The sequence below is a fragment of the Homo sapiens genome, chromosome 2 (assembly GCF_000001405.40).
Source record: "Homo sapiens chromosome 2, GRCh38.p14 Primary Assembly".
Classification (NCBI taxonomy): domain Eukaryota; kingdom Metazoa; phylum Chordata; class Mammalia; order Primates; family Hominidae; genus Homo; species Homo sapiens.
In genome coordinates, this window is record NC_000002.12 from 115637261 (window position 1) to 115651920 (window position 14660).

General features: G+C 37.2%; 1 protein-coding gene across 24 annotated transcripts in view; it reads left to right on the forward strand.

Moving 5' to 3' along the window:
* Nucleotides 1-14660, forward strand: part of DPP10 (dipeptidyl peptidase like 10) — a 1403140-nt gene that overhangs the window by 1194620 nt on the left and 193860 nt on the right.

Below are 14660 nucleotides of genomic sequence, written 5' to 3' on the forward strand. Positions count from 1 at the left end.
GAAAAATATCTTTCAAAAAACTGATTAAAAAATTATATACACAATAGGAAGGGGAGTAAAGTAACTGTATACTATGGCTTTTGAGTAGTTTGAAGAGGGGTAAGTTAATTGTTTTTAAATTAGCATAATCACAAAAAATATAGATGCAAAGTACAAATTTCTAAAAATAGAGGAGAAAAATAGAATAAGAAAATAGGAGGCACAGAATTGAGACTCCAAGAATATGAAAAATACAATCCAGGTGATAGAGTAAGATTGGGCAACAGTGACAGAATAAAGATTGAGGAATAGGTAAACCAATGAAATATATTGTTAGGAGAGCATTTCCAAGACCACAAAGAAACTTAGCAGCTCTCAATTATAAATAAAAGTTATTTTATGATAATACTAAAACTCTTATTGAATTTATGAGTGAGCCCCGAAATAGAACATGTTTCATAGGCATAAGACTTGATTAAATCACTATTTTCTCTAGGAGGGAGGCCCCTGTGACCTGGGGGGAAGCCTACACACAGCTCTCACTGATGGACAAGAACAGTGGCCATCCCAGTCAAACTAAACTTGTGTGAAGAAAAATTAAGCCTAGACATCACCAGTCTGTGACCTCTAGTACCACCCTTGTACCTGTATCACATTCTACTGGTATAACTCAAATATAAGTTCAGAGTGAAAGCACTGAATCATGAAACTAAGAGGGTAACCTGTAGAAGAAGAGCCAGAGATCTGATTGCATGTTAGGCTTCACTCTAGACTGTAGCCTCTGAGGATTAATAAAATCTTTGGAATGCAAAGATCACTTTTCCTCTGAATAAGATTTGTGAAATCTCTAGAATTATGCACTTTCATATACATCTGTGGTTCTGCCTAATTTTAATGGGTACTGCCTTCTGATTCTGTGGGAAGAAAATATCATGGGACTTTGAAATCCGTCAGTTGATTGCACATTTCTTGTTCAGTCAAAATTTACTTAGAATTCCAAGTGTGCATTTACTAAAACTGTGCTTGAAGGGTTGGTAGTGGGTGATTTTAATTCTCTAGTATTATATGTGATTGCAGTCTGGAAGGCTGAACTATTTTGGTGATGGCCAACCATGCAGTAAGAAGGTTAACACAATTTGCAATGGTAATCTCTCTTTCATCTACACATTTCAGTCAACCTTGGCATTATCTCTAAGGCCGAATCCAAGTGCCTGTAAGCCAGAAGCCTTCAGGAAAGAGCAGCTGTTTTTGTGCTCTCTCACATCTTGAATTCTAGGTCAAAATGTCATGTAAAAGTTTTTTCACTAAAATATCTATATTGATTTCTAGGAATAAAATAGAAATGCCTGGAGGATTCTGTGTATTTTCCCTGTAAGTCACTGAAATATCCTGGTAGGCCATCAAGAAATAAAATGGATTTTGTCTCCATTGTATGATTGAGTCCTCCCTTGAAATCCTTGCTATTATCTGGACCAACAAATGTGTAGAGTCCAGACTAAGAGTGGAGTTGATTCAGTGTATGTATCCATGGGATTTTGGTCAACAAAACAGGACTACTTAAAGCCTTGTTGGGTAGGGGTTTATTATAGGAATCAGACCTTACACAAACACGGAAGCACTAACTGAAGAGAAAGTGTTTAAGGGGGACTGGGATGATCAGAGAAAGAATCACTGGCTGGTTTTCCTGAAGCGCTGACTCAGGTAGACAAGAAGCCAAGCATGCTCTACTGCCAAAGTAGGACTCTGAAGGGGGCACTTCAGCAAGGTCTGTAGGAAGATGTTGTCTTTGGTGGCCACTACCACTGTGAGTCCACAGCCAAATGCCCAGTGGTAGGTTTGGGGCCACCATTAGTCAGCAGGGCCAGCTACTGAAAAGGTGGACTAGATTCAGAGAAGAGGAGAATAAGGATACACTGAGTCTTGCTGGGTACCCCTCTACGTATCTTAGGCATCTATCTTATGAAAACCTTCTGAAAGTAGTAGCTTCTGTTTCTCTTCTTCCTTCCATATCTCACTGAACGTCTCTCTTCTGGCCAATTCTAATGTAGAAATATCAGGAAAGGGTATTGGGAAATGTAATACTCCATATTTGCCTGACATAAGCAAGATAATCTAGTTAGAAGCTGGCAATTTCCTTATAACCTAGGACAATTAGGAAGTAGAAATTAGAGTCTAAAGCAGTCTGCAAACTAGGAAGACAGTGGCAAACAGGAGTAACAGGAAACGAAGTCAGGTGCAGTAGACAAACATCTGTCCTGGTGTTATAGGTTGTGCCAGTATATGGGAGGCTGAGGGTCAGAAGGTTTATGCAAAGAACCAAAGCGAAGCAAGATTTACCTCTGAAATGACAGGAGGTCACAGGTACATGAAACTCAAATGCATTACAGGTTTTTTTTTTTCTTTGTTATCCAAATATAAAGAGCAGGAGATAAATTTCATCACCTTTTGAGGTGTTTGTTAAAACATGTAGATTTCTGAAACCTCCTTGCAGACCTAGGAACCGGAATCTCTAGGGTTTTGATTCAGGAATCTGCATTTTAAATACAATCCTCAGATGGTTCTTCTGTGCAGTCTAGTTGGGAAATATATGATTCGCAGAGTGACAGATTCATGCTAACGTCATGTCAGGTACTTACTGATCTGCTTCAGCACTGAGAACAGAGACTGAATTAGAGGACCAGATATATAAGTGATTTTTTTTTAACTGACTCATACAGTAGATTTTTTTTTTTTTTTTAGAGAAGATAAAATTCAGGCTGGAGATGGCAAATAAATTATTCATGTCACCTACCTAGTAAGTGACTGGGCCTATACTCTAATTTAGATCTACTTGACTCCAAAGTGTACCCTTTGAGTGTTGAATGGAGTAAAAGGCTTCAGGCTTGCAGAATTACTGACTTGCTTGCTAAACATTCATCAGTGAGACCCCTCAGGGAAGGAAAAGTAATACTGGTCTCCTATTAAACTAAGTCTGTGTGGATTTCTAAGAAAAGTCCTGGAGGCCAACATTCCCCCAAATAAAAGAACTAGTAATGGAGGAAGGCAGGTCCTGAAAAAATCACTCCCAAGAAAAATGAGAACTTCACACTCGCTTTGTTTTCTGCCCCCTCCTCCTCCCTCTCTGTGGACCCAGCACTTACAACTACTATGACCTCTTCCATCTTTATGTGTCTTCATCATACCAAGTATTCCCCTTTCTTATCTGAAAAAGAAAAAAAAAGAAGAAAGGAAAAAAAAAAACGACATCTTGATCTCGTTTATATGGAATTAATTTTACAGTTAATAAGTAAAACCTAATATTTTTTGTCTACTTTTTTGGGAGCAATATGGTGAACTCATATTGGCAAAGTTATTTAATGGTTTTATGAAGGAATAGATAAGTGTGAGTGAGAAAGTGTGGAATCAGATCGCAGCTGTAAAGATAAGCTGAACTATGGCAGCGCAATGTGACCCCTAGTCCTTGCATTCTAATTTAGGTTCTGCTGGGAAGCTTTACGAGATTATTGAATACCTTTCTAGCAATTAGAGCTGGCCTGGATGGTTCCGGTTGCCTTGGGAATTTGGAAATTCTTCTATGTGAAAGATGTTTCTGCAGGAGCTGATCATTATACACCGATGTTACAAACAATTAATTTATAAAGTACAAAGTTTCAATTTCACAGTGTTTATTTTGTTTTTTTCTGTTAGCTATCTGTTCACCAGATAACTATCATTCTTTCCATATCTTGTGGAATTCCTGCTAGGACTAATAAGATAGGAACTGGAAAATAGCTTTGAAAATAGAATAATTACTTTGAAAATAGAATAATATGTATTATATGATATACATACAGGAAAGTACTCCTGCAACAGCAACAATTGTACTGATTCTAATATCCCAAATCCAGCGGCTGCTCTTCACCCTCTCTCCTAGCCCAAGCCATCATTTCTACCAGTTTACTACCACAGTCTCTTAAATGATCTGCCTGTGTTCTGTCTGCTTCCACAAGAGTCCATCGTCTACTCAAAGTTGTTCAGATCCTGTCATTTCCTTGCCATAAGAGGAGAATCAGGACAAGTTTTGCCACGGCATCAAGGCCCCGCGTGATTTGTCCTCACCTGTTTTCCCAGTGTCATCTCCTCACAGTCTTCCTTGGTTATCTGCATTTCAGCATCACAGACTTGCTTTCTAGTCCCCAAATGTGCCCACCTCATTTCCATCTTTGTCTCTGCTCTTCCCGTTCATTTCCAATACTACCTCTTCAGAGAGACCTCTTTAAACCAGCCTACATAAATGAACCCCACTCTCTCCCTCTATCCTAGTATCCTGTTTAGTCTTTTTATTACCGTACTTATCACTGTCTGAAGTTATCTACTTATGAGTCTCTATGTGTATTATTAGTTTTCTGCTATTATACCGAAGTGCAAGCTCAATAAGGGTAACGTCTTTGTCTTATATCCTCAGTTCCTAGAAGAATGCCTGTCAGATACTGGGTTCAATGTGCATGTGGAATAAATGAATGGATAAATGGAAGGAATTCAATTATATTTGACATTTGGTAGGCAGCCAGATTCAGTGAAATTATGGAATACTGGTGCCTCAAAACAAAACCTTTTCTTATGTCATTTCATATACGATAGTGTTACCAAGTATCAACCTTTTCAGCCACACAGCCTGAAATAATGAAATGGAACATAGTAGTTGGACTTGGAACCAACTTCTGCCTTAAGCAGAAAGCTCATGCAGAATTTAAAGCGATTATTAAGGAAAGAAAATCCTCTTCAACACCCACAGAAAGATAGGGCATTGCTTTTCAAGTCATAAGATTTTCAGTAATTAGATAGGAGAATTATAAATATATTATTTGCATGTTACACATTCCTGTAACTCTAACCATCCAAATATGGTTTCTATATTCAAAATAGGTAGCAATTTAAATATAAATGAGACAATGCCTCATACATACAATATAATATTTAACTTAAAACACCGAGATGGTTAATTCCGTGTGTCAGTTTTGCTAGCTACAGTGCCCAGATATTTGGTCAAACATTCCTCTGGATGTCTCTGTGACAGTGCTTTTTTGGATGAGATTAACATTCAAATCAGTGGACTTTGAATAAAGAAGATTACCCTCCCACAAGGTGGGTGGGCTCATCCATTAGTTTAAGGTCTTATCAGAAAAAAATTGACCTTCCTTAAGCAAGAAGGAATGCTGCCAGCCAACTACCTTTGTACTTGAACTGCAATTCTTTTCCGCGTCTCCAGCCTGCTAATCTGTGCCATTAGATTTTGGACTCTGCAGTCTCCAGGGACAATAGCATGGCACAGTCCCTAAAATAAATTTCCCAATCTTCCTCTCTCTCCTTCTCTTCTTATTTCTCTTAAATTCCCTTTCTCTTTCAATCTCTCTATCTCCCTCTCTCCTTTCCCTATCTCTCTATCTCTCTCTCTCCCTCTCAGTATCTCATACACACATACGTACAAATATATGTGTGTTTACATATATGCATATGCATTATATATATATTTATACACACACATCTTGTCCTGTTTCTCTGGAGCATTCTGATACAGACACATTTCTGATTATAGATTTAATATATACTATATTGTAGTTTAAACATATAGATATATAGAGAGAGATTTAAAATATACTATGTTGTAGTTCAAAATATACTATTGAAAAAATTTACATAACCTGTCCAAATGTTTATTTGGCTATTAATTCAATTAAACAGATTGACCTCATCTATCATTTCTGATAGATTACTTCTAAGAAACAGAAGATGGTAAGTAATATCTCATGCATTATGAAGTCATTTAAATTATTTAACATGCATTAAAGGAGAAATTCAATGTAGCTCATTTCTTCAGGTTTACTAATTAAAGTCAGTCTTGACTCTAGAAATAAAAAAAAAAATGCGTAAGAAGAGCAACTGTGACAGCATTAATATTCAGTGAAATTGATGACCTTAGTGGGTTAGTTTTATATAAACTGTTACGGTACGTACAACTTGTCACTGTAGTTCAAAGTTATGTTCAACACAATGGTTCTTCTTAATTGCTCAAGACACTCCACTGTGACATTGGCTACTTCGGCTGCAATAGAGAGATTAAAGAATCAAGTCATTGTATTTTACAGTTAACAGGATTGCTAATAAAGAATAGTAGCAGCATGAAAAATTGTAGAGAGGCAGTAAAACTGAAAGCTCAAGGGTCTACCTGTATAGACTGCGAAATCCATATACTGCACCAAGATTACAAATGGTGATTAAAGAGGAGCCCACGATATAATAGATTAAAACAAAAGGTTAGGTGTCTAACAGAACACTGGATGATTCTGGGAGGATGGGGCACATAAGACGTTATAAAAACAGAGTTATATTCCAAGGCCCTTTTTAAATTACAAGAATTACTTGTACTTTTACTGGCATTAGTTTTTGCCTGCAAATGTTGCTAGATTCATCATACTTTTAGAAAGCTGATTACAAGGTTTTGGTCTGTTCCCATGAAATTCCATCCCCAGATTTTGTGACAGTAGCCCTTCATTTAGCAAAAACTCATGAGTTTCTTCTCTGTACCAGTTGCTGATGAGCTTAGTCAGTTATTTTTTATGCTGTCACTGTTTAGGGCAAATCAAACCATTGTCTAAACAGTTCACTTTGGAATATTGTGAAAAAAATAAAGTAGAGATCCACTTAAAAATGTTGAATGTGGTTCTTGTCTTTATCTTTGTTGGTACTTTCCTGTCATTGCCATAATCATTGGCTCCATTAGCACCTGACTGGCCAATCAGGTCAGTTGACTTTGTTCATCTGAGCCACTGAACATTTCTAAATCCAGTCTCATACTGCACATCAACTGTGGTTCCCCATTTGTAAATTAAAAAAACTTAACCATGTCTAACCCACAGGAAAATAATAGTTTCTTTTTTTAAATATATATATATTTTTATTATACTTTAAGTTCTAGGGTACATGTGCACAACGTGCAGGTTTGTTACGTATGTATACATGTGCCATGTTGGTGTGCTGCACCCATTAACTTGTCATTTACGTTAGGTATATCTCCTAATGCTATCCCTCCCCCCTCCGCCCACTCCGCAACAGGCCCCGGTGTGTGATGTTCCCCTTCTTGTGTCCAAGTGTTCTCATTGTTCAATTCCCACCTATGAGTGAGAACATGCGGTGTTTGGTTTTTTGTCCTTGCGATAGTTTGCTGAGAATGATGGTAATAATAGTTTCTTAGTTTACTTGTTCACTGAAGGACTGGATGCAATGGCTCATACCTATAAACCCAACACTTTGGAAGGCCAAGATGGGAGGATTACTTGAGGCTAGGAGTTCCAGACCAGCCTGGGCAGCGTAGAGACACTCCGTCTCTATAAGGTATTTGAAAAAAAAAAAAAATAGCTAGGCATGGTGGCGTGCACCACCTGTAGTCCTAGCTACTTGGGAGGCTGAGGCAGGAGGATCCCTTGAGCCCAGGAGTTTGGGGCTGCAGCAAGCTATGATTGAGCCACTGCACTCCAGCCAAGGTGACAGAGTGAGACCTTGTCTCTAAAAATAAAAATTTAAAAAGTTATTAATTGAATAGGAGTTTGGTGTGGGTGGAGTTAACAGTCAGTACCACTAATCTCCATATTTTAATGTGGTTTATATAAACTATACCACCAAAGATATAATTATTTATATTGAAATATCAGCATGCCTAACAACATAATTGGATTCTATGTTTATTTGCAATATGAGTAAGTCAGAGGAAAACTGATAGAGTAGGAAAGTCAGATTTCAAAGGTGAACTGTATAGGAACTTGCCCTTTGGTCTTACAGTGCTGTCTCCTATTATTTTAAGCATTCACCTTAATGATACCATGAAAAGTATTCTCAAATGGGATCATATAGGAAGCCAAGACACAGACTGTTTTAGCTTAAAGGGCCCTGAGAATTGAGATTGTTTTGAATTCCTAAACACTTTCCTTATGTTATAGGCCAAGCCCAAGTCCCAAATGTGCTTTACTCTGTTCCACTGAGTTTTAAAACTTTGTATCAGTTACCAACATTGAATATTGAGAGTTTTGATATAGAGATAGTAATTTTCAATTTATTTAGAAGATTAGAAAATGTGGTACACATCCCTGCATGACTATGATAAGCTGGAGCTGAGAAGCTACACCCTCTTTCAGATGAGTCCTGTGATACTCAGGGCTTCCCAATCCCCACCAGCCACTTTATTTTTTACATCACCTGCCTAGAAACTATATCAAATGACTTCTCAGTCCCTTAGTCTGAATCCTTCATTTTTCCCATGTAATAATTTGAGTTATGAATAGAAATAGTAATTTGCCTGAAATTGAGGAAAATGAAACTCCCCCTTACTAAGCCATCATGTTATATCCCCTTCTTCCTTATTATAAAAAAAATTATGCTGTTCAGGGTGGATGCACGTTTAAGTCAAAATATAGAAAGTAAACAAAACCATTAAGTTCTTAGGCACATTTGCAAAAATGACTCATTATATAACATGCTATGTTCCAATATTAAAAAGCAGAAATCAGTTGGGGATTTCTGGGAAATGTTTGCTCTACTTCCTCTTTTTATTCCAACTCTATTTCCTTCTCTGTCTTCCTATATAAAACATTAAGATGAAGCTGAAGCATTTATATCATGATGACGAGGTAACAATTATTGGGACAAAGCACAACATAAATATCATAGACAGGAAAGACAGAAGAGTCTAAATATCATAAGGCGTTATGTTTTGTTTTTTGTTAAATATGATCCTGACTGACATAATCCTGACTGATACACATATATATTTCACTTCCCATCACACACACACACGCACATGCACATACACATGCACACACATGCACGTGCGTGCGCGCACACACACACACACACTTCTTTGCCCTCTTTGCCTCCTCCTATTTATTATTTTATTCAACAGAGAGTGACTAGTGCTTACTCTATGTCACCATATTACTGCACTGGCCCTGCTTCTACCTGGCAGTGATGGAGATCAGACTGTCACATATTGCTTCTAAACTTAGTAGGCTCATAGAAATTAAAAATAGCATGTTCTACCTAGAGCTTTAAAGATCATTACAGTGGGGCTATTAGCACTGTGAATGGGAACACAGCCTGACTCTGGGTAAAAAAAAAGAAATTGAAGAGATTATATATGGGAGATTCTATAATTACTTTAACAAAATTAAGAGATAAGGCAACAAAGATCTAATACTGTAAGTCCCACCTGCATTATTTGTGCTGAAACACCATGTCTGTACATTGGCTGTGACATGTAATACCACTGAAACACAGGGTGTTTAGCAAACATTTAGTTATTTCCTTAAGCCACCTGGGCTAACAGGCAAGGGATTCCTACGTAGATGGCTATACTGAAAGATTTTGACACCATTTAAAAACATTCTTAGGACTTTTGAGTGAATTATGTTTTCAGATTATTTAGTTTGGGCAGGTTAAACAGACTGTTTTTATACAAATTCTAAAAAAGTTGACAACCCTGAGCCTCAATTTCCTTCTCTTTAAATTGATGATTTTGATGATTCTGAATTGTACCACTATTAAGTTCCTGCTAGATCTACCATGTTTAGAAGTCTGTAACGTCACTCTCTAACGCTGTTTATTTTTTTCTTCTTTGCCCCTGTGTGCACACTGCTAGCTCTTCTATTAATCTCAGCAGATGAGGGAGGTAATTTCGTTTGAGGTCACCAAAACTGTAGGCTATAAATAGGAAGTAAGATAGTCATTCTATAGTAACCATAAAAATAGTTCTCATCACATTGGGATGAAACAAAAGTCATGTCACCTCACTCTGGAGACAAGAGATTTATCTAGTTATTTGTAATTCCTATGGGCTCCAGATGCATGGACAGAAAGAAGGAAGATGGAAACATGGAAGGTTAAAGACACATCAGGGCCTATCCTTTGCTTAGTGTGACACAATCAAAGGAAGAAGACCGGCTCCCTTTGGGTTTAACCGCTTTATCAAGTGCCGCTCTATACATTACCCAGAGAAATGCCTTCTGAATTCTAGAATTTCAGGCATTGCAGTAGGCAGTTGAAGTTGTGGCAGCAGCACATAGGAAGCTTTTTAAACCTCTCCATGCAGCTCTACGATGATTATACTCATTCATTAGCCTTTTTCAACAAACAATGGTTTAGCAGCTGGTATGTACTAAACACTCTGCTAGGCCTTCAAATATGGCATTGCACAAGGCAAGATCTTTGCTATGAAAAGTGCAAATGTTTAAACAATAACAAGGTAGATGTTGTATTAGAAATAGTACATGGTAAAAAAAAAATTAACAAACAAAGGACTGGGTAACATGACTGAGGGTACATCTTAGTCTGTTTGTACACTACAACAAAATACCTGATACTGGGTAATTTATATAAAACAGAAATTAATTTTTCACAGTTCTGGGGGCTGGGAAGTCCAAGATCAAGGCACTGTCATGTGATCTGATGAGGGCTTTTTTTGCTGAGTCCTCACATGGTAGGAAGAGAAAGGGCAACTAGGGCAAGCCTCCCTAACACTGAGTGAAGCCCCTTTTAAAAGGGCCTTAATTCCATTCATGAGGCAACAGCTCTCATTGCTTAAGCATTTCTTAAAGGCTTCCCTTCTTAATGCTACCGCATTGAAAACACATGAATTTTGGAGGTGATTTACGTTCATCGTGAATTTTGGAGGGAGCAAACACATTCAAACCATAGAAGGATGTGACTAATGCAGTAAAGATTCATATCACTTTTATTCTGTGCAAAGAAGGAAAAACTTATTTTATGTTGTTACTTTAGTTTGCATGTCTGAGAGAGGGCAAGTGATCCCTCACATCTAGCTTACTAAGATTTATTCACTTAAGGTACCAGAAGAATTCTCCACCAGAGCAAAAAAAAAATAGTGAGAACCTAAGAATTCCTTCATTTAGAATTAATCCTCTATATGGGAAATATATGTTTTTAAAAACTGAACTCATAGAAGCAGAGTAGAATCGTAGTTACCAGGGTCTGTTTAGGGTCAGGGTGGGGGCATTGGTGCGATGTTGGTCAAAGGATACAACATTATAGTTAAATAGGAGGAGTAAGTTCAAGAGATCTGTTGTACAACATGGTGACGATAGTTCATATCAATGTATGATATTCTTGAAAATCCCTAAGAGAGCAGATTTTAAGTGTTCTCAACACAAAAATATATGTGATATAATGCATATATTAATTGGCTCAATTTGGCCCTTCCAAAATGAATACGTATTTCAAATAATCATCTCTTACCCAGGTGATGGGTTCTTAGGTGCAGCAAACCACCATGGCACATGTTTACCCATGTAACAAACCTGCAAATCCTGCACATGTACCCCGGAACTTAAAAAAAAAAAAAAGAAACATTAAAAAGTAGACAATTTTTGTCAATTGAAAAAATTTAATAAAACTTAGCCTAGGGTATTCTAGGTAATTTACATAGATTATCCCAAGGGAGGAAGGATAGGTAGTGTGAACCTCTTAAAGCAAAGGTGGAGTGAAGTGAGAGTTCAGATTAGTGGCGTGGAGAGTCCAACCCAGTTGGAAAGCAAAGCAGTAATAGGAGTCATATGGAGGATTCTCAATATTCACCTTTGTTGCCTTAACACCTAGCAGGGGTAGAAGGAGCCAAGACTTAATAGATTAATGGAGTAGGGACACCAACCCAGTTGGAAAGCAAAGCAGTAATAAAGACCAGGTGGCAGGACTGGCACAGGTGAGTACTGGAAACAAACTGAGTGAGTCCACATTACTTTCATTATCCTCTTTAAAATGTGTCTTTCCAGCATTTCTGGGAAGAGAAAAACAAAACCAGAGAAAATTCATGCTTCTAGGGAAAAGGAGAGGAAATAGATAGTGCAATAGCAAGAATGAGAGTATTAATGACAGGAAGTAATGTAATCCTAAAGGGATTAGTGAACTAATGCTTATAAATGGCTCAAGTGCCTGGGCCAAATGTTCTATGTGAGAGGAGCTACTCTTCTGTTACTTTCTCTGAGCTCATTAACAACCAAATGGATTATAATGGGCTTCAACAGGATTAAGTGACAATCAACAATCAAAGTAAGACAAGAGTTTATTATGAAGAATATTGTGTTCAAAGATTAACATTAAACTCGTGAAATATATTGTAGAAACTTCAGATTACATTTTGCTATGATTTTCTTTTTATATGTCAGTCTTCATTCCTCCTTCAGAATGCTCTTTTTATGATGATTTGTACATAATTATTTTTAGGAACCCATTGATCAATGTCCTAGTAATATTTCATTCTTTTATATCATCTTTTACAATAAAATTAAGTTGCTTTCAGACTAATTTAAAAATAATCTTTGGGGTTAATGTTTTGTTTCCAAATTATGAAAAAGGAAGGAATTCAATCAAATATTGCATTCTATTACCAAGTGGATTTTAAGTACCATATGCTGTGTTTTATGCCCTATATTATGTAGTCAGAATGAAAATGTGCTCCATGTTTTCAGAATATGTACTACCTTCATCTTTCACATTATTTCAAATAGTGAGAAAATAAATATACATCCATTCTTCCTCCTACTTTCTTTCCTTATATTTATCTCCCAACTAGCCACCAGACATTCTCTCTACATTTAATACCTACAAAGAGGGCTGGCTGCTATTCAGGTCATCTGGCAAGTATCATGTTTTCTCCAGTATGGAAAAACTAAGACATATGTGTTTTGTTTACAGTGTGCCAAATGTGCCAATTCAATGAGTTTTTGGATTTGTTGGCAAAAAAAAAGAGAGAGACTGAAAAATAGGGAACAGCATTTTTTCCTGTGGCCAGTGGTCATTTGTTGGCACAAGGAATTTCTGTATTATAAATGACACTCAATTCTCTCTTTGATGGCCTCACTTTGAGAACAGATTTTGAATAAACAGATCTTAGGCACACAGAATTTCAATCGTCGAGGTGTATCTGCAGAAGTAATTAGATACTTGCAAGTGACTTTTAATCACTTCAACTTGAATCCATGTGTTGCAAAAAGATGTACTAGCTAATGTGATTATTCCAGGAACATCTAAAAGTTTTCACTGAGTAACTTTTTTTTGACATGACAACTTCTTATCGTCTCGATCTTGAAGCATTGGCATCCAGATAAAGGCACATGCTGGCATGGGGAAAGGGGGGGGGGGATAATCCACTTGACAACTGGTAAAGATAATCATATTTTTATAATTTTTGATAAATAAATTAACTTACAAGCCTTATTATGACTCTAGTTTCTTCTCCCTTTAATCAGTTACATCTATTACTGCCAGAGTAATTGTTCTATTTCATATATTTTGTCATATAATCCACCTCCTAAGAAAGACTGTTATTGTTTACAGATTATTTCTCTTCTTAGGATGACACACAGGTCCTTTCACATGTGGTCTCTACTTGGTCTCCCAGACTCAGCTAGCCTCCATGAGTATTTCCTAGTGTAGCCATATTCAACACACTCCCTGCTCCCTGAGGTGCCCATGCATTTTTGCCCATGGTCTTTGTCTTCCAGTAGCATTGAAGGAGAAAGAGGAGGAGGAGGAGCGGAAAAGGAGTGGGGAGGGATGAAAAGAGGAGGCCCAGAGAAGAAATGAGAGGAAAGAAATGTCCAACGAAGGGAAGAGAAAGAAAGGAAGAAAGAGAGTGAGAGACAGAATTTCTCCACATTTCTCAAGACTCACCTCAAGTGATCTCTCCTCTTCAAGCCTTCCCTAAATCCCCTGACAGAGAGCCCCATGCCACCATACCTTATGCTGTGTCACCCTCTAGCAAATTTACATGGTATAACAAAGCATGCTTATCTTTTTCTCCATTATAGATTATCAGAAACTTGAGAGAAGGGTCTGAGTCTTGCTGTCTCTGTGTTTCCCATCACCTAGTAGTAACTAGTCCAAAACTATTTTTTTGAAAGAAGGAATGAATGAAACCTGCAAATTAATTAAAAGCGAGAGAACAAACAAAATAAAATAGATTTGTTCAACTCTGTTTGTATAATATGAATAGACTTCTAAATTAGTCTTTCTAGTTGGTAAATTGGAGGAAAATTAATGAACCTGAAAAAATGAAAAGTAGGTGTCACATTATAAGCTTTCTGAGAAAATGACTTGAACCTTTTATCCTTGTGTTATCCTCCTTTCCCGGCGCTGAATTATCTTCTAAAATGGTTTGCTCAAGTAGAAAGTTAATTAATTTTTATTAAGCAATTAGAAGAAGGAAAGCAATTTTCATTTTCAAGTAAAAGAATTCGAAAGAAACAGAGGAGATGACTAATCATTAGGAATGGCTTAGACGCCGAATGGTTTCCCACATATACCAAGATAAAAAGAATGCGCAGGAGGAGGATGATCCATGGAGTAATATAATACTGTCAGTCAGGGTACAGACAGGAATGTCTGCCCTGTCAGCTTTGATCATACCATATGGGGACTGGAAAAGGAAAAGATGGTGCTTTTTTACACATATTCTCTAGCTTCCGTTTATACTGAAAAGTTATTGTAAAGAGAATAAGCAGATAGTTTCCATGGTTGGACAGCCTTTGTAAGTTTTGCAGATTTTTATTGTTTTTACCAACAGTGACATGCTTAATTCTTCAAGTTGCCACACTCAACTGAATTGAATTTTAGTGTTCTGTTAACTATAAAATATAATG